We start from the raw sequence: 25,275 nt of genomic DNA, 5'->3' as shown, positions 1-25,275 counted from the left end.
TTCCCCTAATGTGGCATTCTTAAAGCAAGAAGTACTTTTCTTTATAATGCTTTATATTATTTTTAATTGTGTATTATTTTAATTATTTGGTTAATTTCTTTCTTCCCCACTGGACTACAAGCCAAAGGAAGTGATAATGTTTATTTTGCTCACTAGTGTGTCCTCAGTGCCTAGCACAAAAGAGATCGAAACATGCTTGATGAATGAAGAATGTTCCTATGCAAACATTTCCAACCGCATAATTTTAGTAGAATTACTGTATCTAACTGTATGCACTGGTGAAACTTGTAGGAGGCAGGATTTCAGAATCAAAACCCCTGCCAGAGAAAGCAGGAAACTGGAGGTTGGTGCACACAGGGTATCTGACTTGGGAGCTGTAGTAATGCCGGAGTCCTTGCAGCCAGTGGCAGTCACTGCTCTTCTGTTCTCTGTCAATAAAGAATTAAATATGCATGTTTATGGGGCTCAGGGTTATTTTTCTTTGAGAGAGTTAATTGATGGAAGGTTAAATAAAGCCACAAGTTTTTACTTAAAGGAAACAGAGAAAAATGAAGAATTACTTTAATTATAAGCAGCGTGTCAAAAGAAATGTTTTCCAAATTAATCTTTTCTGGGAGTGAAACAACTCTTACTATAATTCATCTTAACTCCTCTGAAAAAACAGAGTTGGGGGAAATCCTACCCAATCCTTCTCTTGTACACACACACCCACACCCACACAGTGTGTTCAAGTCAACTCCCACTTAGATTGCAATAAACGACATGAACGAATTATAGACATTAAAGCTTTTCTTTCCAAGGTTTTTGCTTTCAAAATATTTGTTTTTGCTTTTCAAAAAAGGTTTGCTTTTCAAAATATTTGTTTTCCCATGTTTGGTGTGAGAACCACCCTTTTCTTATTAAAGAAGAGGCTCATTCTAGAGAGTGACTGCAAAAGCCTCCCTCCCACCATCACCACCTGATACCCCACATCCTAAGGGTCAAAGGTCAGATATGTTACACAACGAATTGTGTCTTTTAAAGGGAGCACGACTGAAATATTTCTGGATAGAAAAGGCAGAACATTCTTAGAATATCTTGACTGTTAACATTTGTTCCTAATCTATCAAAATTCTCTTACTCATGTTTGCAGAGTTGCTGAGTATTTTCTGAAGCCTTTTCAGAGTTGGAAATCAGTCAAATCCTAGTAGTAGCTAGGATTTAAAGGGATGGAGGAGGTGTCCTGTTGATGTCTCTTTTTCCTTCAACATCAACAAGAAAACCCAAGGTCTTTTTTTCTTAGAGGTTAGTGGGTTATTTTCCCCTTGGCCTTCCTAATGGAAATATGTGTTGAAGGGGGAGGGTGATAGAAAAATAGGAGAGAGAAGGGGATATTTGGGGAGACGAAGGCATGACTCTAAGATTGAGGAAAGACTGAGGATGGTAAATGTAGGGTAAGTGTCAGGATTTAAGTAGCATCCTCCGACTAACTGCCATGAGCTCTGTATGGTGACATCGTTGCCGTCCTGCAATCGGAAACCCCAAGAAAAGCAAAAGGAAAGAAAGTAAGAAGAAAGAGTGGGTGAAAAATTTGAGGTGTCCCATACAATAAGCTTTCGTGGCCAAGAGGCAAAATCTTTGAGGGTTTTGCAGTTGCTTTCAGACTGGCCATGGCTTTGTTGTTGTTGTTTGTTTGTTTCTAACTTTACATACTTAGATTCTCTGGAGGTTCAAGAAGAGAGTTCACCATGTGTTGGCCTTGCCTGGTGTGATTTATAGTAATCAGTAACCCTCTGCAGCATTTAACGACACTTGGACAAAGCATACTCAAAGAATACAGGACGGGCTGGGCACAGCTCATGCTATAATCCCAGCACTTTAGGAGGCTGAGGCAGGAGAGTCACTTGAGGCCAGGAGTTTGAGACCAGCCTGGGCAACATGGTGAGACCGAATCGCCACAGAAAATTTAAAAATTAGCTGGGCATGGTGGTGTGCACCTGTAGACCCAGCTACTTGGGTAGCTGAGGTGGGAGGATCACTTGAGTCTAGGAGTTCCAAGCTGCAGTGAGCCAAGGTCACACCATTGCACTCTAGCCTGGGTGACAGAGCAAGACCCTGTCTCTAAAAAAAAAAAAAAAGAGAGAGAGAGAGAATACAGGATAACATCATGAAAACTTCCTAAAATACTGAGGAGTTGTCCAAGGAATGTTAGGTCTATAAGCAGTAGCAGAGTAGAATTGCAGCCAACAGAGTAACTGAGGGTGAGTGGTAAATCTAAAGCTGGCTGTAAGGAGGCAGCAGGGAATAAAATGCCAAAAGCAGCAGATCCTCTATTTGTATCTCTATTCGTATCTCAGCTGAGGAGGGCGACCAGATGCATGAAAACAACTGACCAAGAGCCTGGAAAGAGAACATTAGGTTGTTTCTTCCTCCCCACATGCAAGGGAAATGGTCATAGTCTTAGAAATAGATTGGAATAGATATTCTCTGCTCACCATCTACCACCCCATAATACCGGCACTGAGCATCTGTTTTGGTGATTTGCTAAGGGTCAATTAAGCTTTAGAAGCTCTTAGCATAAAAATATGATGAGTCCTCCACGTTAGTGATCAGAATAAGACCTAAAGAGTGAAGCACAACTTGCAGGAATGCTGAAATCAAAATTGCTTTTTTCTAGATGTTTTGATTGCTAAAACCTGTGTGATTTCACGAAGCTTAACTTTGCTCATTGGCATGGGGTTGGTGGCTCAGCTTTGCTAGTGTCTGTGCCCAAGCTGAGTCGGCCTGCTGGTTTATCTACCGTGGACGTGTCCAGATCCAGAAGCTGGAAATGGCAGATGGAGAGGGGACAGCACTCATAAGGCTTGCACAGGTTCACTGTGGAAAGACTTTCTGAATCCATTTCCCTCCGAAGGGGCCACAGATCCTAGGCCTCAGCACCCCTAGGCAGGCGGTAGCCCTCCTTCTCACCAGGGGCTGCTGCATTGGAGCCGTGGAAGTGCCCTGGTGGTCACTTTGCAGTTTAACTTCCAGGCTGCACAGTAACACCACTGGAGGGAAAATGTCTGTGTTTGAAGTAATCATAGGCTTTCTCCTCTAATACCAGCCTGCCCTGCCAACGTGCCAGCAGCACAAAGGGCCCCACTATTTATCCTCCATCACAGAGTAAGTGGCCTATCCCCCCGCCGCTTGGCTCCAAGCTCCCTGTCTGGACAGGACACAGCTGGGCTTTCATCTAAGGAGGGGAGAACTCCAGCTGATTACTTTTGTTTGGCCTTCACTGAAGACAACAGAGCAGGAGGTACTTTTGCATTTTGTCTTGTGGTGAAAGTCCCAATGTGGGGTAACTCAAGAAGATTTTCTCCTCAAGCAAAGGCTAACTCGTGGGGAAGAATCACAATTTTTTAAAAATGACCATTAAGAAGATCAGCCAGAATTTTATGCAGAAAACATGTATTACTTGCATCATCAGAAAAATAAAACTGCATTAACTTAAAGAGGAAAAAAGAGGAAATTATCTGAATATTTTAAGCAATTATCTTAAGGATAAATTGGGTTTTCTCCTCACTCTCTCAATGGCAGTCTCCTATAACCTAATGGCCCCAACTTTCACCTGTAAACTGGAGTTCCCAAAATTTATATCCTCACACCCATCTTTCATATAAGCCTCCAACTTACATATACCCAACTGACTACTTGGCATCTCACTTTATGTATATCACAACCTCTTCACATTTAACACCTCAAATACTGAAATTCTTTCTTCTTTCATGATCTTCCCCCAATTTTTACCTCCTTCTAGATTCTTTCCTTCTAGATTCTTGCTTTTACCTCCTTCTAGATTCCTTCCATACAATCAATTATCATTCCCATTGTTCAAGTTACCCTATGTCTCCTCTTTTCCTTCTTCCTTTATCCTATCAATTTATCTTATTATAACAGCTAACTTTTACTGAGCATAAATTCTGTGCCAGATATTATTCTAATTGCTTTATACGTACTATTACATTTAATCCTCACAACTCCAATAAATAAGTGCTATTATAACCCCCACTTTACAGATAAAGAAACAGAAGTACAGAGATGTTTTATAATTCTCTATATAATGTCATAAAAATAGGCTAGTAGGAGATCAATGATTTGGATCCAGGCTGATTTGCTCCAGAGCCTAGGCTCTTAACCTCAATGCTATACTGCTTTCTAAAATTATTGTGTATTTATATAAATTTAAATGTGTGCATTTTCATCCCATAGATACTACCTAAAGTTCTGACCATGATGTAGGTAGATAATTCATCCTTCAGAATTAAGTTTCTAATGCACAAATGTTTTCTTGTCACCATCCACTTAATTTCAACGGATCATTTTCTGAATTTGTCATTTTCAGAGGCGTATTGCTACATTTGGGGCAATGCGTACATATGTGGTTTCGTTAGCTCCAGCGGGGGCTAATCCTCTGACAGAGCCACCTCTCACACGAAACACTGAATGGAGGCGATCCCGAGATGGATGGAGCAGCAGCAGCGCAGGTTGCTGCAGGTAAGCGAAGCCACTCAGAGAAGTGCCAGGCTGGGTTCAGGAAAGCATGTGTCCATGAAACATGAGGGAATATTTCCTTCTTCACATGATCAGGGCAGGATGCAGTTGTGCTCAAACCATGACTGAAAAAATTCTGCAGTAATTAGAGATGCAAGTTTATTCTACTGCACCACCAGAAATTCCAGTCTGCAAAAGCATGTAAGAAACTCACAGATATCGGAAAGATGGGTCTGGAGGACAAAGTTCAAACTATTGCCATGTCAACAACACCATTTTTCCATTCTCTGATGTCATCTACCTTCCCTTCACCTCATGCTCTGCTCTAGCTCTAAAGGCTTTGTGCTCAGAGCACACTTTCCTCTTTCATGCCTCCTTATCTAAATATTCCACTCCTTCTGCCTAGGATACCCTTTCATATCTTGTCTTTTTGGAAAGTCTGTCTTTTTTTTTAAATTAGGGTTAAGTTCAAAGATCATGTTCATCTCTCATGCCACCCCTACCCTTTGCACTGGATAGATAAGCTGCTCTTCTTCATTATCCTGTATTCCTACACTTGCCTAAAGCACATCCCAGCGTGGTGTGGAATATGTAATACTGTACTTAATAGTTCATTCTTCTGTCTCCCTCTCCAGACTTACGAGCTCCTTAAAAGTAGGGTCTCAGCCCTGGTCATCCAGTACATAACACATCGGAGGTCCTCTATAGATATTGAAATGATGGAAGAAAGACTGTTTCTAAACTATTGAGATGGTCAGGTCACAAATATGGTTTTGAATTAGCTAAATTACCTGGATAGTATGTTCTCTTTACTTTATCATTTTTTTTGTTATGAAGGACAAAACATCAGAAAGCTTTATTTCAGCTAGTTGTTTCCTTTTTCTCAAATACATGGAAATACCTATTATAAAAACTTTTAGCTGAGATGCTTTAATGGAATCTCAGGGTAAAGGAAAGGAAAGGGGTTTCTCTGTGCCAGCAACTTAATGTTTCCTGTTTCAGCTGTGCTGCCAGAGATTGTAATTCAGGAACCAATCTCAAGCTGAGCAGAGGAAAAAATGAGATGCTTCATGAAAATGGCCAAATGTCATCACCAGCTATTTTGTGAGAAGAGCTATGTTAGGAGCCATCCACATGTAAAATGGACTTTCACCAAATTCCATCCATCTGCCGGTCATGGAAGCTCACAACATGTATGTCTCCTGAGGGAGCCTTTTCGTTTTGTGCTTTTTCTGGCACTAAGAAATACAGACACTTGTGATTTACTACTGGGCACTTATAGGAATGGAGTCAACTATTTCCTAAGAAACTCAAAGACTGAAATGAGAAATTCAGAAAATAAAAATATTTTCTGTGTTAGAAAACTATATACCAGAAAGCCTGAAAAGTGAGGCAAAGGGCACGAAATTCTGGTTAATAAGATGTTGTAGATTAGTGAGAACTTGAAAATGTTTTTGCTTCTAGTATATTTTTTGGAATTTCTAAACTATATTAGCTCCCTTTCTTACCTTAGGAATTACAGTATTGTGATCATGTGAGAAGATAGTTCTAAATATTAATAAATATTTTTAACTTCATCAAATACGTCTTTGAAGATTTCGTGTTTTGATGTTTGAGGTCATAGTACCATAACATAGAGCAGGGATGCAGCATTGAAGAATTAAAGGGCGCCAAGTTAGAAATCTAAGAATCCAACTTTATCATTTATCAATTCCATACCCTCGAGCCAGTCATTTAACCTCCAAAGTTTCAGGTACTTTAGCTGTAAAATAAATGGAAAAGGATATCTCTACCATGTTACACTCTGTATTCCTACCCAGCTCAAAAACAGGAACTTACTAATACTTCTCACCACACAGGCAAGTCTTTGGGACTGCTGTGATTTGGTTATTTGTTTGTCCTCACCCAAAGCTCATGTTGAAATTTGATCCCCAATTTGTGGTGGTGTGGTTGGGCCTAGTGGAAGATATTTGGGTCCTGGGGGCAGATTCTTCATGAAAGGCTTGGTGCTATCCTCCAGGTAATGAGTGTGCGTTCTCCTTCTGGCTAGACAGAATTAGTCCTCATGGGAATGGGTTATTTCCCTTGAGCATGGGTTGTTATAAAGAAAGAGAGGTCCCACTTCCTGTTTGGTCCCACTTCATACATGCCTGCTTCCCCTTTGACTTCCTAGGCCATGTTTTGATGCAGCACAAAAGCCCTCACCAGAAGCCAAGCAGATGCTGGTGCCATGCTTCTTGTACAACCTGCAGCACTATGAGCCAATTAAGCCTCTTTTCTTTATGAACTGTCCAGCCTCAGGCATCCCTTTACAGCACCCCAAATGGGTTAAGACAGGGATCAAGCACCAGCTATTCTCTTTACTTCTTACTTCTCCTCCTAGGAAGAAGGAATGACTTAACTGATTGAAGCAATTAGAGTCAAACATCTATTAGTCATGGTTTCTGTTTTTGGAAGAGATAATGCATCAATTGTCACTGTTTATGTGTGGTCTTTTTTTTTTTTTTTTTGAGACAAGACTTTTAGCTTTGTTGTCAATTGCTCCAGAATCAAGAAGCGGGGTGGGGCAGGGTGGGGGATAAGTCATTAACTGGTAATCTGCAGTGATCTCAACAATAATATTTGTGATGTCAGTTCCGGATCAAGAGAGTAGAATGAGCAACAAACTTCCCATCAATCTCAGGACTCCCTGGAAATCCTAGTGATTTTAAGATATATAAAAGTAACAAAAAATGGATTTCATTAACAAAGAAGATAATTGGAGAGAGTTAACATCTGAACAGAGATTCCAACACATTTTTGAAATACAGAAAGAGAATAAAAACCTATTGAAATATGAAATGGAGCAGAGCAAAGTGCAGATGCAAATCCAGTAAGAGCAGACTGCAGTGGAGGTGGAGGTGAAAGTCAGTATTCTCACTGGAGGCACCAAATGAAGTTGGCAAATGAGGCAGAAGGCAGACATGGGAAGTCGAGCAAACGGGATTATCCGGAGGTCTTTGAACCAAATTTCTCCCCAGTGCCTCTCATCCCTCTTTCCCTACACCAGCAAGTGGAATCTCCTTGATAAATAAAGTGGCTGAACTGCTTAGGCTTTTATTGGGGGTATAGAGGTTTAAAACCTCTTTGTTTTAGCATTTAGGGAAACTGCAACCTGTCAGCTGATATCCATATCACTCATATTGAAACAAAGCAGGTCGTTTAACACGCCCTTGCCTACATACATAAACTGCCAGTCAAATTTCAAAGCAGTGAAGGGGAGTTTTTGAGAAAAGACCTATTCACACAGCAGCGGAGGAAACCTACACAAATTAACTAGAATAATGAGCCCCATTCTTTATTCTTAAAAGTGATTGGATAACAAATATACATGTTATATATATATATATATATATTTATATATATATATATATATATATATATATATATATATATATATATGTATGAAAACCAAAAGCACAAAGTAAAAGACCAAATTAATAAAACAGAAAAACCAACTCTGCAGAAAACAGAAGATAACTTAATAATAACAGCATTTATATTGCACTTATTTGAAGTCAGGCATTATTCCAAGAGCTTTATATATATTAACTCATTTCTTCCTGAGAACTATCTTACAAAATATGAATTTTTACCATCTCCATTTAACAAATAAGAAAACTGAAGCACAGGGAGGTGGAATGAGTTACTGCTGTGTGAAAGGGCTGTATACGGGAAGCAGTCCCCAAATGCTGCAGGAGTTGAGAAACCAAAGAGCCATGCAGACAAATTCAGTTTGCCGATAAAGGGTGCTTCATTGAGGGAACTTGCAGACAGAAATGCGGTCTTGAGCAGCAGCAAGACAGGTAGATCTCCACACTGTTACTCCCCAGATCCAAGGCTTGTAGACCACAGGGAAAGGGTGTATGTGCTCCAGCAACACAAAGGCACCCTCCAGAAGAGGCAAGAATACTATACGCATCACAGCCTATAATTTCTGCAACAACATCAAGGTTGACAAGTTCTTACACTAAGGACAGTAAATAAAGCAGGAATCAAGGAGCATTCATGATACTGGAGCTAATCAGAAATCAACATGGCAGATTAGCATGAAAATAGGGCCACTTTGGTTTCCACAGTTACCCACAGTTATAGCTAAGTGGTGGAGCCCATGATTCTATCCGGGTCAGCTTGGCCCCAGAGTTTGCTCTCTAATTATCTGCCAATTTTAATTGGTATCCTAGTCACGATGTGAGAAATCATTACACTCATGTAATAAGAATAGAATGCAATGAATAAGGAACAGTTCATCTATAATAAAGAAACTTTAGAGATTCAAAACATGACAGCTAAAATAGAAAAGTTCAATAGGGCCAGGCACAGTGGCTCACACCTGTAATCCCAGCACTTTGGGAGGCTGAGGCAGGCAGATTACTTGAGCTCAGGAGTTCAAGACCAGCCTGGACAACATGGTGAAACCCTGTCTCTACCCAAAATACAAAAATTAGCCAGGTGCAGTGGTGTGCACCTGTAGTCCCAGCTACTTGGGAGGCTGAGGCAGGAGAATCCCTTGAACCCAGGAGGCAGAGGCTGCAGTGAGCTGAGATAGTGCCTGGGCAACAGAGTGAGACCCTGTCTCAAAAAAGGAAAAGAAAAGAAAAAGAAAGATTCAATAGGACTTAGAGGACTGGAAGATAAAAGTAAAGTAATCTCAAAGAAAATAGAGTAAAAGAAATAGAAAAGATGAGGTAAAACTAAGAGACATAAAAGACCAATCTAGGAGGTTTAATATTTAACTAAAAAGATCTTCAGAAAAAATGTGTGTGTGTGTTTGTGTGTGTGTGTTTTAACAATTACCATTATGTGGTAGGATTTCAGAACACCAAGCATTCTACACGTTTTTGAAGATAAAGCATGTCTCCTATCAATAAACAAAGATTAGACTAGTCTTAAACATCTCAACAGCAAGGACTAGATATTGGAAGACAGTGTAGAAATTCCTTCAAGATTTTGAAGGAAAATAGTTTCCAACCTAGAATTCTGTGCACAGTCATAATATAAAATACATGAAAGAAAAGTTAATACACTTAGAAACGTGAAACATTAATGTTATAAATACATTTTCAATGCCACAAAAGAAATAGCACTCAAACATTAATTTTCTCAGCAAGGCAATTTTACTTCTATAGAAGGGTATGACTCGCGGATGGAGCAATGGTGAGAGCACACTTGAAGAAGGGAGGAGAAGAGATTTTTTTTCCTGATGCAGGTAGCCCCTACTGCTGTGTCATTCTCCTGCTGGCTAGGGTTGGACCGCACAGTCTAAGCTAATTCTGATTGGCTATTTTAAAGAGAGAGGGGGTAGGAGTTGGAGTCATGGAGTGAGTAGTTTGGTGGGAAGGGTGGTTACAGAACAGGTGATTCAGGATGATTCAGGTCAGAGCAAGAGACCAGGGTCGACTCCGGACGGAGGAGGTGACCAGGGGAACAGATGTGAACTACTGATTTGAACTCGTGGAAAAGGTTGTTTACTGAAACGAGGGGTGAGGAGAACAAGGAAGTTAAACTTTAAAATGGAGAACAAAGAACTGAACATACTGACATACTGATTCTTTGAAGAGAAATTTAGAACTCACTGTATTCAATATTAAGATCTAAGACTATTAACCTGCAATGTTTAAGACCGTACTCAAACATACATGGGATTGATGATTAGGAAAAGGACATAGAATCAAGGAAACAGGTTTCAACCTAGGAGAACAACAAAGAGGAGACCAAGGATGGAAGGTCTGCTACTGATCTTCAGAGCCCTGGTCCAGATTGTAACAAGGGGATAAAGACCTCAGGAGGTGGAAAAGGTAGAAGAAGCTGTTTTGTTTTGTTTTGTTTTGGAGACGAAGTCTTGCTCTGTCGCCCAGGCTGGAGTGCAGTGGCACGATCTCGGCTCACTGCAAGCTCCGCCTCCTGGGTTCATGCCATTCTCCTGCCTCAGCCTCCTGAGTAGCTGGGACTACAGGTGTCCGCCACCATGCCCGGCTAATTTTTTTTTTTTTTGTATTTTTAGTAGAGACAGGGTTTCACCATGTTAGCCAGGATGGTCTCGATCTCCTGACCTTGTGATCTGCCTGCCTCAGCCTCCCAAAGTGCTGCAATTACAAGCATGAGTCACCGTGCATGGCCAGGTAGCGGAAGATTTATCCATCATGGTCGAAAGACTGAATAAGCTTGATGAGAAAAGTTGAAGGAACCCAGGGCAAACCAATACTCTTATTCCAAAAATGAAGCCTTAAATATGACATGATTATTTAGTGATTGAGAATCTAGTTGATCTTGATCCCAAGAACAGTCTCTTTCAAGTAGGTCAATCAATAGTCATGATTTGAACGTGCTGAAAAGAAAGTGTAATTCTTAGGTTATGTACTAAAAAGTACCAATACTGTCATAATGTGTAGGCCATTTCTTGACTTCTAAATTTTATAGTCAACTTATGGACAAAGCACAGAGGCCTTAATTCTAATTACACAACATATTACATAATATAAATAGCAGCAACGTTGATGGTATTCAAGATACAGTCAGCAGAAAGTGGGAGAGAGAAAGTGGTGAGAGAAAGTGGTAAGATAAAGTGAAAGTGCAGTGTACTAAAATCCTCCCTTATTTAGAATGGGGTTCCAGATACAGTTGAACCAAAACAAATTAGAAATATATAGAATTTAAAGTTACTAAGATAATCCATCCTCAAAAAAATTAAAGTTCTAATATAAGTAATAAACATTGGAAGGAAAAGAAGATGCTGGCAGTGAGCTGAATTTTCATTCTTTGTAGCAGGCAGCCAATGGATCATGTCTGAACATTTTAAGTTAAGAATAGATTTAAAAATCTCTACTTTAGAGTTTAAATGTAACCAGCTGAATAACTAAAAACAAATTTAAAGTAAGTTGCTTTTGGGAAGCAGGATTGAGTTGAGGGAGGGAGTAATAGATTTGCTTTTCAATATTAGCTCTATATTATTTGATGTTTTAGCATTTGCTGGTATTATTTGATTTTTAAATGTTACTTATATCCTTAAATAACAACTCATCTCTATTTTATAGGACAGGACTAATGGGAAGATTGGATGGGATAATGGATCTCCTAAAGTATCACACACCTATAGCAACACGCAAACAAAGGATACCAATAAAGTAATACTATCGTGAAAGGTATTAGAAAATGTGAGGTGCTATACAAATACCAGTTATTACAGATAAGTACCACAGAATTTGGAGTGCACCTATGTTGAGCCCTAGCTATTTCACTTACTATAAAATCAATGTATCCTCACTGTGTCTTCAGTGAAATGTAAAATGGAGTCTGTATAGGGGTTAGGAACACAGACTCTAGAGTTTGACTGCCTGAGTTTAAATACCAACTCTACTATTTACTAGCTGTGTGACCTTAGGTAAATTACTGAATCCTTCTGTGTCTCAATTTTCTCATTAGTAAAATGGGATCAATGTGAAGATTAAATGAGTTAATGCATATAAAGCCCGTAGAAGAGTGCCTCTCTCAAAGTAACCCTATATACATGTTTGCTGTTTCAACTGCATAATAATATTAAAAGATTTTTTTCAATCTTTCATATTATTTAATTTCTTTTTTATATATGTAGGTGTCAGGAAATCCTAATGCATGATAGTTGTGCAACCTTCTTAGGTCACTGGCAAACCATGATGTGTGTAAGCTTAAAGCATAATTAATTACAGAAAAACACTGAAATTTAGAAGAAATTCTGACCCAGACACACACACAAGCTCATGCTTCCATACGTTAGCCAGGGACTGAACATTTATTAAACACCTTCCCATGCTGGGACACTGTTCAAGACTGTTAAGGCTACAAATATGTGGAAGACCTGGCCATCAAGGAGCTTACAGATACTCATGGATCTACATGTGGGGAGGAAACAAGCAAGCTACTTCTGGAACCATTTGGCGGCTTGGCAGCTTGCTACAGAGAAGCTGAAGGGTAGAGCTGAGCCCTACCTCCTGCTCTGTGAGGCGAATGATGATCCGTCAGGAGCATAGAAGGGAGAACCTCCTCCTCCACTCTCCACCCGCCCCAAACACACAGTCTTTCCCACGCAACACAGGCTTGCCTCCTTAGGCTCAGCAGAAGGGGGAATGAGCTTCCAGGAGTAACACCCAGCTCCGAGCCTCACTAGAGGACCACCCTGGAAAAGGACCTGCTTTACCCAAGTCTTCTCTGCCACAGTGAGGAAGCCGCCCCCACCCCACCAACCACAGGTGCTCTCCCAACCCAAATCAAAAAGCCACTGGTACTATCACTAACCTCTGTCATCCTGCCCCAACCAAAAAGATATCACTTGCCTGCCGGCTTTGTCACGTAACTTATTTCTGCATTCAGGACTCACACAGGTCTACCTGCAATTCCCTTTCATGTTTAGGGCCTGCTGAGGACTGAGCAGCGTGAAAAAATTGACTCAGTCATTTTTCAACATTATTAACACCAATTTCTAATTTGTAAATAATACTGTTAGAAGTGCTAGAATGTACATTGAGTCCTAGTGAATAAATTACATCCTGAGAACACCAATAATGAGAAGGAAATTACAGTGACACCTCCAAGAAATAGGAACACTCTTAAGTGGCAACTGGGAGATGGAAGCAGCAGCGAAGGGCAAACCCTGGATGTACCATGTGGATAATGAGATGTGTTGGTCATGAGCTTAGGGGCAGCACAGTGACTCTCCTGTGCTCTGGGTGTGTGTGCTCTGGGAGGAAGTCTCTGTGTGTGGTGAGGCAACTGGGTCACATCCCGAGAGTGGTGGTTTCTATGTAAAGCAGATGGGAGCTGGAGGAGGTGGGAGAAATGAGCTGTGTGAGTGAAACAGCTGTTTGAATGAAACATCCAACAGAGGATGACTCTGCCTTCTGGCTACCAAGGGTGGGGCTCCTGCTGTTCCATTTATGGTAAGAGACCAGATACTTGGGTAGGCAGCATAGAGAGACTCAGCTATGTTAGGGCAGGGCCTACGTGGAATCAAATATCAGTGGTATCTTACATTTGCCCAACACATTATGACCTACAAAGTACTTGCAGATTCTTGATCTGATTTATGCCACACATTGGCCTGTGCTCTTGGCAGGGCACGTGTATTATCATCACTCTACGGGGAAGGAGATCCATACATGATCATATGACCAGTAGAAGAGCTAAGACAAACAAGTTGCCCTTTGGACTCCTACCGTGGTGTTCCTTGCTCCACGTCACACTGCCTTTCCTGGGAGATTTGTCAGGGCAGCTCTCAGTGAGCACTTTGTTGAGATTCTGCTCTCGGGAAGAGAGAAGTTAATTAGTTAAAGATGATTTCCATCACCTGAACCCAAGTCACGCACCAAACGTGAGCCATAAATGCTAAGAGGAGGTGATAGTTAATGCAAAGAAATGATGAGGAAGAATGAGTTGTTTCCATTGGCACATTAAATGGTAGCCTGTGGACTCCCCAAATAATTGATTACCCTCAGAAAACATTATTTACTTTGGTTTAGAATTGAATGAGGTTCGTTTGACCACTATTATATTTCTTGGTAAATAAAAACTGAAAAGAAAGACAATTTATTTAAATATAATGAGTTCTTTAAAAATATAAAAGACTACGTTCAAAGAATTATTGTTATTTGTTATTAACAATACCCTAAAATTCAACATTATCCCAAACTGAGTAGGCTGTACATTAAATTGTTCATGAGTCAAATAAGAAATGAATACTCTACTGAAACCAAAGCAAAATTATTTTATCCCCAGTAAGAAAATTCTCCTTTTTACCACCCCCAGAGTTTCCACACAGATTAGATAATGGCCTATTTTATTTTAACAAAGCTTTTGGCAAAATGTTGACAAGCCACAAATGTGGCCTCTGAACCCAGGGACCAAAAAGACTAATACTGTTCCTTTGAGAAACACACAGTTTGTCCAACAATCAGAAGAAAAATAGAAAACCATACTTGAATCCAACCTGGAGTCACAAGTTAGTGAATTCAACTGTCTCAATTATAGGGTGAAACTTTTCATAAGTCAGTTGCCATCAAGTCCCAAAGCACCATATCTATTTTTATTTTTACTATATTTTGTGGTGGTCCCCAAGATAAATTAATGGCTAGCTTAGTGTTTTCAGTTGTTTATTCATTCATCACTCTTATGGGAACACAGAAACATTCGGGCTGTGCAATTCAGTCAGATTATATAAAACCTCCCTTAAATAACAAGACAGATACATCTGGTCCCTTTCACAGGGTAGTCACATAGCTGGCTAGAGTCAAATCTGGCTAATTAATCAGAAAGAATAAAGACTAGAGATCTTGTATTCAACTATGTATGTATAACTATGAGCAATGGAATTGAAAACTCATTCTAGATCCCACGAGGCTTTCAGAAGGAAAGTACAGAGAATGTAACTTGTATTTGACTTAATAGTTTTGTCACTTTAACCAAAATGTTATTCTTGGTCCTAGGAAGACAATGATATTAATGATATTCCTTATCATACACATATTTTCTCTGTATAACTATAGGTTTAAAATTTCAATCATGAGATGATGGTTTATGAAAGTTTGTGGGCTTGCATCCCTATCTCTTATGTGCCTGAAGAACGGTTGGGCTTGTTTGGTTAGTGCCTCAGCAGCAAAAAATTGTCCACACAGTGTATCAAGTCCATTCATCCATCTCATTCATGGTGCAAATATGGCCATGTGGCTTGTTCAGTCCCTCTAGAAACCATGTATTTTATACAGTGACAAACTTCCATCTGGCCAGCCTTGACTAGAACACAAAAGATATTGGACCTTCATGGATGGTTCATCCCGGACCTGTCGCCTGTCAGTGAAAAAACAGCTCTTGAGATCAACCAGCTGTGGGCCCTGTACCATTATCTCTCTCTGCAATCACCTAACGTGGCTGTGTAGTCCATTTCACACAGCCAGTGAACACACAACAGAAAACCCAGAGAGCCTTCAGGAAGTCAGCCTGTGTTCAAAGCTTCCACTAACAGCCACCTGCACCGACTGCACCACTTCTCTGCCCTGGCGCATGTTGTGCACCCTCTTTTGGACTTTTTTTTAGGATAGCAGAGCTTCTCGTCCCCTCTGATCCTGATTCTACAAGGCTTTTATTTACTAAGTAGAGCACAGCAAGCAACGTATACCAGAGCCAAACTCACATGGTAGAAATTCCCTGAGGGTATTATACTAAACACACTGCCTCCTTCCTATGAATGATAAAGTGAGAAGAGTGACAAATCTGCATTCTGCTTCATTACACAAAACATACAACCCCTCAGGGCTTCATCTGAGAGGAATCTAAGGACTAATACAATATCATAGAAGTTCCACACCATAAATGAAGAAACTGATACATCAAGAAGTAGTAAAGTAATTAATCCAGGTCAATAAATAGAGTAATGCATTCATTTCCTATTGCTGCTGTAAGAAATTACCACAAGCTTGAAACAGCACAAATTTGTTATCTTAGAGTTCTGGAGGTCAGGAGCCCAAACTGAGTTGGCAGTGCTGAATTCCTTCTGGAGGTCCCAGGAGAGAATCCATTTCCTTGCCTTTTCTAGCATCTATAGGTTACTGGCAGTTTTTGGCTCATGGCCCCATTAACCATCTTCAAAGCCAGCAGCATGGTATTATCAAATCTTTTTCCTCTATGAGCTCTGCTTCTGTTGTCTTGTCTCTTCTCTGACTCTGACACTTCTTCCTCTCTCTTATACAAACCCCTGTGATTGCATTTGTCCCACCTGGCTAATCCAGAATAACCTCTCCATCTCAAAATCCTTAATTTAATCACAAACTCAAATTTATTTTGCCATGTAAAGTAACATTCACAGGTTTGGGGGATTGTAGGGCATGGACATTTTTGGAGGGAAGAGCATTATTCTGCCTACCACAAATGACAACCAAAAAGTCTAATCTTCATCAGTGACTAAGGATCTAGCAAATATGTGTGTTAATTTCATTCAAACTACATTTAGTAACTAGATGCCAGGTACCATAACTGATAAACATCACAAAGCAAAGAATAGGCATAAAATGCTCATATATATATATACATATATATATATATATACACATATATATATATATATATATATATATATATATATAGAGAGAGAGAGAGAGAGAGAGAGAGAGAGAGAGAGAGAGATGGAGTCTCGCTCTGTCACCCAGGCTGGAGTGCAGTGGCACAATCTCGGCTCACTGCAACATCTGCCTCCTGAGTTCAAGCGATTCTCCCAGCCTCCTGAGTAGCTGGGACTACAGGCACACGCCACCATGCCCAGCTAATTTTTGTATTTTTAGTAGAGACGGGGTTGCACCACGTTGGCCAAGATGGTCTCGATCCGTTGACCTCATGATCCGCCTGCCTCAGCATCCCCAAGTGTTGGGATTATAGGCATGAGCCACTGCACCCAGCCCCAAAGATATATTTTAAATGTAAGTCATAAATAAGGAAGACCTTTTAAGATCCTTTAGAATGGAAAAACTATTAATAGTGAACTGTGGTAACATACAAGACACAAAGAGCTCATATTTCTAATATTTTTTAAAAATGATTTTATAAATAAAAAAGAATGATATGAACAACCCAACAGAAAACAGGGGCAAAATGAGCAATTTATGTACCAAGGCATACAAATGAGCAATGCATATATTGTGAGAAGTCTTCTTTTATATCTCAGATCAGCAAGTACTATGTGCTGAATGTTTGTGTTTCCCCAGCAGTCATATGTTAAAGTGTTAACCCCCAAGGTGATTGATAGTAGTTGAAGGTGGGGGCTTTGGGAGGACATCAGGGTTATATTAAGTAATGGGAGTGGAGCCTCCATAATGGGTTAGTGCCCTTATGAGATGGATGGACCAGAGCTTTTATTCTTCACCAGGTGTGGCTACAAGGAGAAGATAGCTGTCTGCAAACTGTCCTCATCAGACACTAGATCTGCTGGTATCTTGATCTTGGACTTGGAAGCCTCCAGATCTGTGAGAAATAAATGTTTGTTGTTTAAGCCACCCAATATATGGTATTCTGTTGTAGCAGCCTGAACTGACTAAGACAGCAAAATTAAAAAGATTAATGATAGTCTTTACAACGGCCTAAAAGGCCTGCATGATCTGGCTCCTTTATCTCACTCTGCCCCTCTTATCTAATCCCCTTCTTCTGCTTCCACCTCACTTGTTATTCCAGCCAGAAAAGTGTCCTCTCACACATTATAGATCATGTACGTATATTTATACACATATACACATAAAAATTTGGCCAAGCAATGCCACTTATAGAAGTTTTTATACAAATGAAAAAAGTTATGCATACAAAAATAAAAATGTTTCCAGGTAGAGATTTGGTTAAATTAATTATTATATATTCATAAAACTAAATACTATGCAACAGCTGGTCTAAGTGTATATGTAAAATATTTCTCACATGCATTGACATGGAAAGGTTCCTGAAGTGTATCTGTTAATATAATTCATAACATATATGTTTATTTATTACATAGTTATTAATTATAATTTATATTATTTATAAAATAAATATATCCGCATACATATCCCTTCCAAAACATCTGGAAATGATTAGAAGAGGAATGAACATTATTTTTCATTTACCTGATTATTAACACATATTACCCCAGAAGAAACACTTATCCAAATCATTTAAGAAATTTTTTTTCTTTAAGTCAGAAAGAAAATACCTTTTCTCTCTGTATTTTCTCTATATGCCGGCTTCTTAGGACCATTCTAGCAACAGTTGGCTTTGTGAAAATCATTGGAAAATCTCATTCTTTTTGGTCTATATTTTGCTATTCTGAGTAAACATCATCTGTTATATAGATGACACTGAAAGCCCTCTGAATATTTTCATTTTGCTATGTATTACATAGAAAAGACTTAAGCGTTCTTATAATTTTTATAAGCATATAATCCCCCTTTCTCATGATAAAATATAGACCTAATAAAAGCAAAACTTTCTAAAAATATTTTAGATGTATAAGCTCGGTGAGACTATCTGGAAACTACAAATTTCTGCTACAATCCTAATTGTGGCCCAACTAAGTTATAGCAAATTTTATTGAAGAAAATGCATGGATAACTTTTTTCCTTACAAAAACTCAAAAGAGCATGATCTCTGTAGATACAATTTCTTCTAGTTTTTACATGTAAATTATTCTTACTCTCTCTAAAATGGTTTCTAACCGCTAGAATTACCAGACAAAATTATTTTGAATAACCATATTCTCTATTTTTATATTTAACAGAATTATTTCAAATTATCATTTCCAATGTTATTTTTAACTTAGCATTTTTTTTAAATCTACAGATCCATACATAAAATACTGTGGACATTTTCCATCTGGGCAACATCCTGTCTTGTAATACATGTTCAGGATGGTCTCAATGCCCTAACAGAAACAGCACTGAATTAGGTCATGTTGAAGCAGATTAAATTTGAATTAGAGGCACTTCTGGCATTAACATAGATGTGTTAATATTTCCCTCTTCTACTTTTGAAATCAAACAAATAAAAAAATAAGAAATACAAAAAGAACCTACATATTCCATTTTTGGCAAAACTAGGAAGCAAATTTACTGCAGTCTTCAAAATAAGTTTAAAGGCTGCCAAAAGCAACAAGACCAGACAAAAGCCACATATAAAACATGAGGAGAAGAAGCAAAGAGACTCACGAGAGGATCCCATGGCAGCAGATTTCAGAAAATTGCACTTCCTGCAGGTGAGAGGTTATCTGAGAAGTGCAGAAGCTGTATTCATGCTGGCAGCAATGGGTGTAGATCCTGTGTGATCGGGGGTGGCAACAAGAGCCTTCATGGACCCAGTGACTCTCAGAGAAACAAAAGTGCAGGGCTATGGAAGAACCACACAGATGAGCCATATTGGAAGAAAGAAGTCTGTCTCTAAGAAAGAAAAAAAGGAATTAAGAGTCTGAAAGGGTACAGTTATGTTTTTTCTCTTAATGGAACTTTCTGAAAACAAGTTGCTCAGAAAAATTCAAATTGTTCATTAATGAAAGGAATTAGCATAGCACTGACACCAAGATTATATAAGAGAAGATGTAAGAAAGAAATAGCAGTAAACCTTCCAAACACAAAGGACACAAGCCAGAAAAAATGTTGACAGAGCAAATAAAAATTGTAGCCAAATGTTTTATTGTGAATTTTAAAATTAAAAAAAAAATCACTAGTCTTTATGAAGGAAAATTATAAAGGAGAAGTACAAAGAAGGAAAAAATGGAAGAAGCACACAGAGAAAAGAATGTAAAAAGCAAGTAGGAAACTTAGAGAATAGTAATGAGAAAACTGGAGGGAAAAGGTGTAGCATAAAAACAAGTAAAGAAGATTCAACATAGTCCTTTGAAGCTGTCAAAGAGGGAAATAACCAAGTAAAACAGAACAAATTGCTAATGGTATAATTGAAGAAAACTTTCCTAATGTAAAAGATGACCTACAATCACATACTGAAAGAGTACACTCTGTGTCCAGGAATAATAACCCACAACAGTTAACACCAAGACCCATCCAGTAAGTATACTGAATGTAAAGATAAAGAAAGAATCGCAGACAAAATCGTCAGATAATTTACAACAGGAAAAAATGTATAGGTGTTCCTCAGACTTCTCCATACCTTCATCCAATGCCAAAATTCTTAAAGTAACACCTGTAATATTCTCAAGGAAAGAAATGTGAGCTAAAGATTTTATATACAGCCAAACTATTCTTCAAATATAAAGGGTACAAACAAAAAGTCTTGAACATTCTGGAATCCAGAAAATGTTGTCCTTCAAAGTCCTTATTGATAAAATTGCTAGAAGACAGACTCCAGCCAGCCAAAGTCCAGGAATTACAACAAAGGTGTTCATGGTGGTCACAGAATATGTTTAGATGCAATTCAAAATTAAAAACAAATGTGGAGCTAATGTAACCAAATAGAATGTTAATTTTATAAGTGCTGAAAATGTAGAAATGATACAGCTAAGACAAATTGGAAAAGGAAAGAGGGAACTAGAGTAAATTTCCCCTTTACCTCTTTTAAAGCTAAAGGAGAGCATTTAAATCAAACGAACCAAGTAATCAACATTGTAAGTCTATATAACAGAAAAATTAAATGCTAAGAAGGATAATATTATTAATTAAATCTGTGGTAGATGACTTTATAGATACAACACCAAAGGCATAATCCATGAAAGTAATGATTGATAAGCTAGACTTCACTAAAATAAAATAATTTTTGCTTTGCAAAAGATATTGTCAAAAGAATGAGAAGACAAAGCACAGATTGAGAGAAAATATTTTCAAAAGATATATCTGATAAAGGACTGTTATCCAAACATTTAAAAATTACTAAAAATCAGCAATAAGAAAGCAAACAACCTGATTGAAAAATGGACAAAAGACCTGAAGGGACACCTCATCAAAGAGGCTATACAGATGCAAAGTAAGCATATTAAAATATATCCAACATCATATGTCATTAAAGAAGTGCAAATTAAAACAACAATGAGATACCACTACATATCTACTAGAATGTTCAAAATCCAAAACACTGACAGCATCAAATGGTGGCAAGGATTTGGTTCTCTCATTCATTTCTTGTGGGAATGCACAATGGTACGGCCACTTTGGAAGACAGTTTGGCAGCTTTTTACAAAACTAAAAATGCTGTTATCATACAATCTATAAGCAGTCATACTCCTTGGTATTTACTCAAAAGAGGTGAAAGTTTATGTCCACACAAAACCCTTCACATGGATGTTTATAGCAGCTTTATTCATAATGATCAAAACTTAGAGGCAACCAAGAAGTCCTTCAGTAGGTGAATGGATAAATAAGCTGTAGTACATCTAGACAATGCAGTGTTATTCAGTGATAAAAATAAATGAGCTACCAAGCCATAAAAAAGCAGGGAGGAAATTTGAATGCGTATTACTAAGTGAAAGAACCCAATTTGATAAGTTTACATACTGTATGATTCCAACTCTGTGACATTCTGGAGCAAGCAAAACTATGGAAACAGTAAAAAGATTGGTTGTTTCCAGGGGCTATGGAGTGGGAAGGATAAATAGGCAGAGCACAGGGGATTTTTAGGGCAGTGAAATTATTCTATATAATACTATAATGGTAGAGACACGTCATTACACATTTGTCTAAACCCATGAAATATACGATATCAATAGTGAACTCTAACGTAAACTACAGAATTTGGGTGATGATAATGTGTCAGTGTAGGCTCATCACTTATAACAAATGTACCACTGCAGCATGTGATATCAAAAGTGGGGGAGGTTATGTGTATGGGGGAAGAAGACAGGATATATGGGTACTCTATATTTTCTACTCAGTCTTGCTGTGAATCTAAAACTGCTTTAAAAAATAAAGTTTATTGATTTAAACAATAAAAATTTGGGTGGTAGAGGAAAGGAAGGGAGAGGAAAGAGAAGAAAATGCCAACCCTGCATTGCTTATAGAAGAAGCTAACATATATACTGTCTAAAGAGTTAAAAAAAAAGAGTGCTACATATAAAAGTAAGTACATATAAGAGTGCTACTTTAAAAAGTAAATCCCTGATTAAAATATGTAACTTCCTAAATTTTAGAGTTACTGCATAAGTAAAACAAAGCAAAAATATGAGACCACATGAAAGATATTTGATTTTTTTAACTATAAAAACACAATCCATACTCCAAGAATGGTAGAGTAAAAACCTCCAAAAATTCCCTTCTTCAAAAAGATCAATGAGAACACTAGGACAATCAATGTTTTAGAGCTCTTAAAATTTATCAAAGACTGGCGACCAACAAGAAAAATGTCTGAATCTAAGTAAGAACAATGGGTTTTGTGGCTTTTTAACTTCCCTATTATCATCGTCCTCTCCCAGCTCTATGGGAGCCTTGATAACCAACAGCCTTGAAACCATGTTGGCTGTACAGACTTGAAGACCTGAAGCCACTGGAGGCAGCAGAATGGTTTTGGAACTCCCACCAAAAGCCTCACTAGAGAAAATTGTCACTCTTTGACCTATCTGGCAAGTTTCTGAAAATCTCAATTCTCAAGGCTTGTCTTTATTTGACATTACTCAGAGCTCACACTTTGTTAACATCTGCCCACAGGGAATCTGTGGAAAACAACCAGTAGTGATTGTTTAACATGGTGGCTGCCTGAGACAGCATTACTAGTTGGAGCTAACAAGAGGCTGACCAAAAAACTTCCAAGGAATAAAGGGAATGAAATGTCTTTGGGGGACTTGAAAAGCTCTGACATATTCCTGGTAATCTAGTAGATTATGTACTTGCATAAGGCTGTATGAATGCCCAAGGAAGATATTAAAAGGCTCTCTTCTCTCACTTCTTCATTACCTTGAGTTTCTGAACAAGCAGGAAGTAAAGGCTAATGGAGAGCTATAAACTGCTTGCCAAATATTGAAAACATACTTTAACATACACACAGAGCCTCTTAGCAAAGGCTAGGAGATGTATGGTTTAAGGAAATTTGAGAAATGCTCTGTCCAATCATTAACTGACCACTGAGCTAATCTAGCACAAAGTTTGCTGGCTAAACAAAGAATACAGACTTTATAGAATTAGCCTAGGAAAGTCACTAAACCAACAAACTGTAAAAACAATATATGTTGGAGAAAGGGGGGTATCTGATTTCCAGATTTGCCACATTTTATGATTTAAAATGTTCAGTTTTCAGCAAAAAACCATGATATATGCAAAGAAAAAGGAAAATATGGATCATACACAGAAATAAAAAAGTCATCAATAGAAATTGTCACTAAGGAAGCCAAGACGTTTGACTTACTAAGCAAGATGTTAAATTAGCTATTTATAAATGTTTAAAGAACTAAAGGTAACCATGTGTAAAGAATTAAAAGATAATCTGAGAATAATATCTCACCAAATAAGAAATATCAATAAAGAGATAGAAAATATATATATATATATATATATATATATATTTTTTTTTTTTTTTTTTTTTTTTTTTACAAAAAACCACATAGCTATCTTGGAGCTGAAAAGTACAATAACTGAAATAAAAAATGTACTAAAAGCACTCAATAGTAGATTTTAACCAACAGAAGAAAGAACCAGCAAACTCTAAGATAGGGTGATTAAAATTATCCAGTCTAAAGAATAGAAAAAAAAAGAATGAAGAAAACTTAACGGTGCCTCAGAGACCTAAGGAATACCATCAATGAGAGTCCAACATGCACACAATGAGAGTCCAGAAAGTCAAGACAGATGGGGGCAGAAGGAATATTTGAAGAAAAAATGGTAAAAACTTTCTCAAGTTTGATGAAAAAGCTGCACATCCAAGAAATTCAATAAACTCCAAATATTATAAACTCAATGTGATACTCACCTAGACAGACAGTTGAAAGACAAAGAGAGAATCTTGAAATCAACAAGAGAAAAGTAACTAATCATATACAAGTTTTCCTCAATAAGATTAACAACTGACATCTCATTCAGAACCATGGAACCCAGAAAATAGTGGGATGACATAGTCACAGTGCTCAAGACACAATACAACATGAAATAATATAAAGAAATCAAGACCAAACCAATCTATTATATCATTAAAAATAATAGGCCTGAAAAAGCCTAATTTTAAAAGTATATTTTCACATTGGACCACATAGCCAAACTCAACCCCATAATATTTAAAACAAATATACTTTTTTAAAAAGACTCAAAAACATTGAAAATAAAATATTTGGTAGTAATATACCAGGCAAGTGGCGACAAAAATAAAGTAGTGGTCAATTTGAAATTCAAGTCCAAAAACATTAAATGAACCAAAGAAGGGCTTTTTATAATAGAAAAGTCAGTTTATATTTAATGAAGATAAAACCAATAACAATATCTATGGCTCAATAACTAAGCAGCAACATTTAAAAAGCATAAATAAAAGAGATTTGTGGAACAGTAGAAACACATAAACAATACGAAATCTTATTTATTTCTTTCAGTTTGTGACATTTCTATAGACAAAAAAATAAAGATATGAAAGAGCAAAATAATATGAGAAATAAGACATCTTTGAGTGATATGAATCAAGTTCTGTCCACTAAAAAGAAAGTTTGGGCCTTCTTTCTTAGAACATTCATAAAATATTGGGCCATAATAAAACTATAGTAAATTCTAAAAGGTGGAGTAGTGTCTAGAGCACACTTTATTTATGATGCAATTAAACTAGAAAGGAATCACAGAAGTTGAATTCATGTCTCACATTAACACCAGGATAGATGCAAAATAAATGAAATACTTGATGTCAAACATGAAACTGTAAAAGAACTACTATAGGAGAATTCATTTAAACCTTCTAATGAGGAAGAATTTTAAAATTATGACTAAAAATATAGATGCCACAAAATATAAGTAATATATAATATAGTCAAACACATAAAATAACATTTATGAAAAAATCTTTATGTCAAAAAGATATAAACAAATTCTAATGACAATGTTAATCTTGGAGAATACCACCATTGTGTTGCAAACAACAGCTTCTCTAATATATAAGGAGTTTTTAGAAGTTAATTTTAAAAAAATTGATGGCTCAGTAGAAAAGTAAGGAAAAACTATCAACAGATCACTCTTAAAAGAATAATATAAATAGGCCTTAAACATAAAAAATTCCCTGATGAATGAAACAATAATATAGAAATTTAGAGTAAGTTAGGAGAAAATTGGATGGACTAAA

At 37.7% G+C, this 25,275-nt stretch overlaps 2 long non-coding RNA genes across 3 annotated transcripts in view; one reads left to right on the top strand and one right to left on the bottom strand.

The window, feature by feature from the left end:
- The window catches only part of LOC105379051 (uncharacterized), a 62,349-nt gene extending 50,237 nt beyond the window's left edge, over positions 1–12,112 (top strand). Inside the window, exons 2-3 of one of the 2 annotated variants that reach the window (NR_188290.1) lie at positions 4,367–4,518; positions 11,589–12,112. This is a non-coding gene — a long non-coding RNA (uncharacterized LOC105379051). Of the gene's footprint in view, positions 1–4,366; positions 4,519–5,517; positions 6,098–11,588 lie in introns of those variants that run through there. The other variant, NR_188291.1, reaches the window with a different exon arrangement.
- LOC107986430 (uncharacterized) lies at positions 123–19,308 on the bottom strand. The gene is made up of 3 exons (XR_001742771.2): positions 19,239–19,308; positions 13,743–13,824; positions 123–428 (listed from the first exon to the last, which is right to left on the bottom strand). It is a non-coding gene; the product is annotated as an uncharacterized LOC107986430 (long non-coding RNA).
- Between the last annotated feature and the right edge of the window lie 5,967 nt (positions 19,309–25,275).

The sequence above is a fragment of the Homo sapiens genome, chromosome 5, assembly GCF_000001405.40.
Source record: "Homo sapiens chromosome 5, GRCh38.p14 Primary Assembly".
Lineage (NCBI taxonomy): Eukaryota > Metazoa > Chordata > Mammalia > Primates > Hominidae > Homo > Homo sapiens.
This window is presented reverse-complemented; position numbering and strand designations above follow the sequence as displayed.